This window comes from Homo sapiens, chromosome Y, assembly GCF_000001405.40.
Source record: "Homo sapiens chromosome Y, GRCh38.p14 Primary Assembly".
Taxonomy (NCBI): Eukaryota; Metazoa; Chordata; class Mammalia; order Primates; family Hominidae; genus Homo; species Homo sapiens.
Window position 1 is genome coordinate 26541111 of NC_000024.10, and position 3099 is coordinate 26544209.

General features: G+C 36.5%; 1 pseudogene; it reads left to right on the top strand.

Annotated features, from left to right (window-relative positions):
* Positions 1–295: 295 nt before the first annotated feature.
* On the top strand, positions 296–415 carry LOC124905308 (uncharacterized; annotated as a pseudogene).
* Positions 416–3099: the final 2684 nt, after the last annotated feature.

The window sequence follows — 3099 nt, forward strand, 5'->3', positions numbered from 1 at the left end:
TCTCTTAAAGTTTTTCATTAATTTTAGCATTTTCTGTGGCTTTTATTCTATATAATCTTTTCAACTTCAAATGTTCTCATTCTATACCAAATACATTGCTTTAAAATGAAATGTTTAGGTAAATTCCCACATACTTTGAAACTAAAAGATTGTGATATTTAGGGACCAGTGAAGAGTATTCAGGCTAAGTACCATTAATGGAATAAGGAAGATGCAGTACCCAAAGAAGGACTTTTACTCTTATACTAACTTTAACTTCTCTACATTTTGAAGTTCTCATCAAATTCCCATTTGTATCATTTTTTGGCCTTTTGGCTAAGATCAAGTATAATATTCTTATCAGTTTAATATCTGCTATATCAGAAAAATTTATATTGAAAACAATTCTCCTCTGTGCTTCAGCTACAAATCCCTTACACATAATGTTCTGTCTGGATTTTTCCTACAGCCAAGAGGGAATTTATTTGAGCATATGCAGAATTTGAGTGACTTCAATCATGAGTTTCTAAAAAATAGCAAACAGAACAGAAACTGGGAGATGACACATGTAGCAACACAATAGTAGAGTTTTGCAGTATAGTTGTGGTAGAAACAAAGAAAGCTTAGGCCAAGTTAGAACTGTTAGGGATTAAGAAACTAAAGAGTGTATGAGGCCCTGGTGACTCTTTTCCTTTTTTTACTGTGACAATGAGGAAAACGAAAGAGCAAATGTATACTGGGATGTAGATGGTGGCTTCCTAAGCTTGTTCATGGGTCAAATAGCTGATTTCTTTTTGTACCCTAGCTTCCCTGGACTACAGCTCAGGCCCCAACTAAAAGCATGTTAAGTGATAGGCTTTTGGAGTTACTTGATAATAACCTCATCCAATGTGGTCCTCTGACTAGAAACCTCAGCATCACTTGACAGCTTGCTAGAAATATAAGAAGAAAAATACCTTAGGCCCCACCCTGGACCCACTGAATCAGTATCTCCGGGACCCAGCAATCTGCAGCTTAACAAGCTTTTCCAGGTGGCTCTTATTGATTTGTGCCCAAATCAGAGAAACACTAGTCCAGACCATCAGTTCTCTGCTTCGGTGGTTCTGATGGTAGGAGAGATACCAGCTAGCACACTTTGGAAGTATCTCAATCTGTTGCCTCCCTGATGTGCAGTAGCAGCTGTAGTGAACATCTGTTACTCATGGGAATAACAAAGATGAACAAGAATAATCGATTTGTTTTGATGTGGAAAAATTAAAAAGCTAGTCTTAAATCCCAAAATTAAATTTACAAATGCTAAGAGTCTATTGTATCACTATTTCTCTAGACAAGAATTTCTCAGCCTCAGCATTACTGACATTTTGGGCCAGATCATTGCCATAAGAGGGTGGTGAGCAGTTATATTAATTGTAGGGTGTTTAGCAAAATTCCTGGCCTCTATTCACTAGTTGTAAGTAACACACAGACACGCACACACACGCACGCCAGTTGTGAAAACCTAAATGACTCCAGACATTGCCAAATATCCCCCAGGTAGGTGATTGGGGAGAGGAGGGAAAATTGCCTCTGGTTAACAACTGCTGCTCTAGATATAGTTTATATTGATAAAATTCGTTTCTGAAGCAAAAATTGATCTTTTAAATTTATCGTTAGATGGACACATTTTGATCGACTTCTACGACTTATTATTCTGGTAAGAATTTTTCATCTGTTTCATCAAAAAAGACAACTTGAAAAGCTGATAAGAAGGCTGGTAAGTGGGCAAAACATGCTTATGATTCAGAAAAATATTTTGTGTTTTGGAACCCATTGGCAAGGGTTGATATCTATACTGTGTAATGTTTTCTATTTTTATGTTGATGAATGTTTCACAAACTAATGGTGATTTTAAACTCTCAGGTTTCAGAAAACAAAAGGCGATAAACAAGGGATGGATTTGACCTAGACCTCACTTACATTACAGTTTTGTGACACTTAACTGTTGATTTACTTGTATTACTTCACTTTTTCTTGTAATTGTATTTTTTTTGCCTCATCTAAGACATATTCATTCAAAATTCTTTATTCATGAGGATATATGCTACTGTGATAATGTGACATATTTGTGGTTTAGCCCTGGCAATGGAAGATCTGCATGTCTTCTCAATTCAGGACTACTCATTTGCAGCATAGGAACTTGAATGGATTTTCAGCTGACTCCATTTGAGTTTCAATTTATTAACCTCTAGTAGTTATTTCTGAGTCCCAAGGATCCCACAGAGACCTCTTCTCATCCTAGAACCCCAGAGAATGAGGTCGGTGCTTTGTAGATCTCAGGTTTTCTGAGTCAGAGGGCTGCAAAGCACTTTGGGAGTTCCCACCATCACTGGTGCCCAGAAATCTTGGATTTTCTCTGGTATTTAAGATAAGAAATAAATTCTAAGAATGGGGAACTTCAGACTGAGGCCATCATAAATACAAGGCATACAGTTAGAACCAGTGGAGACTTAAGAACTCCATGCCAGTTTAATGGTCATTGTGTTGGGTAATTTAATATGTTATTTGATTATCCTGAGTATTAGCTGTTTTCTGTCAACCTCAATCTTAAAAGGTTTTTTCCAGTGAAAATGGAGTCTGATAATGTATAAATTAATTTTTTGTATGTTATATGAAATCTATAACAATGTTTGTAATAGTGATGATTTTGACTTTCAGAATGTATTATTGCTATGTCATTTCCATCTTTTGGAAGGCAGTCTTTCTATAGAAATCCAGTCGAGGTAAGGGTCTTTATCTGACAAATACTCATTTCTTAGGGAATGTAGACTGTGTAGTCATAAGTTTAATATTGACCCAGATATGGCAGTATTCTTTTAAAAATGTACTCTTTCAAGTAAAAAAATCATAATGGATTGATACCAGTTACAATTGTGCCAGTGGTTACAAACCACCCCAAAACTTACTGGCTTATAACAGCAACTATTTATTTGGCTCATGATACTGTGATTTGTGAATTTGGTATGGGCTTAACTGTCCAATTTGGGTGCTTGCAGAAAGGATTTCCTGCCTCAACTAAGCTCATTCATGTATCTGTGGGCAGCTACTGGGTCATCTGAGGACTGGCTAGTCTAAAATGACTTG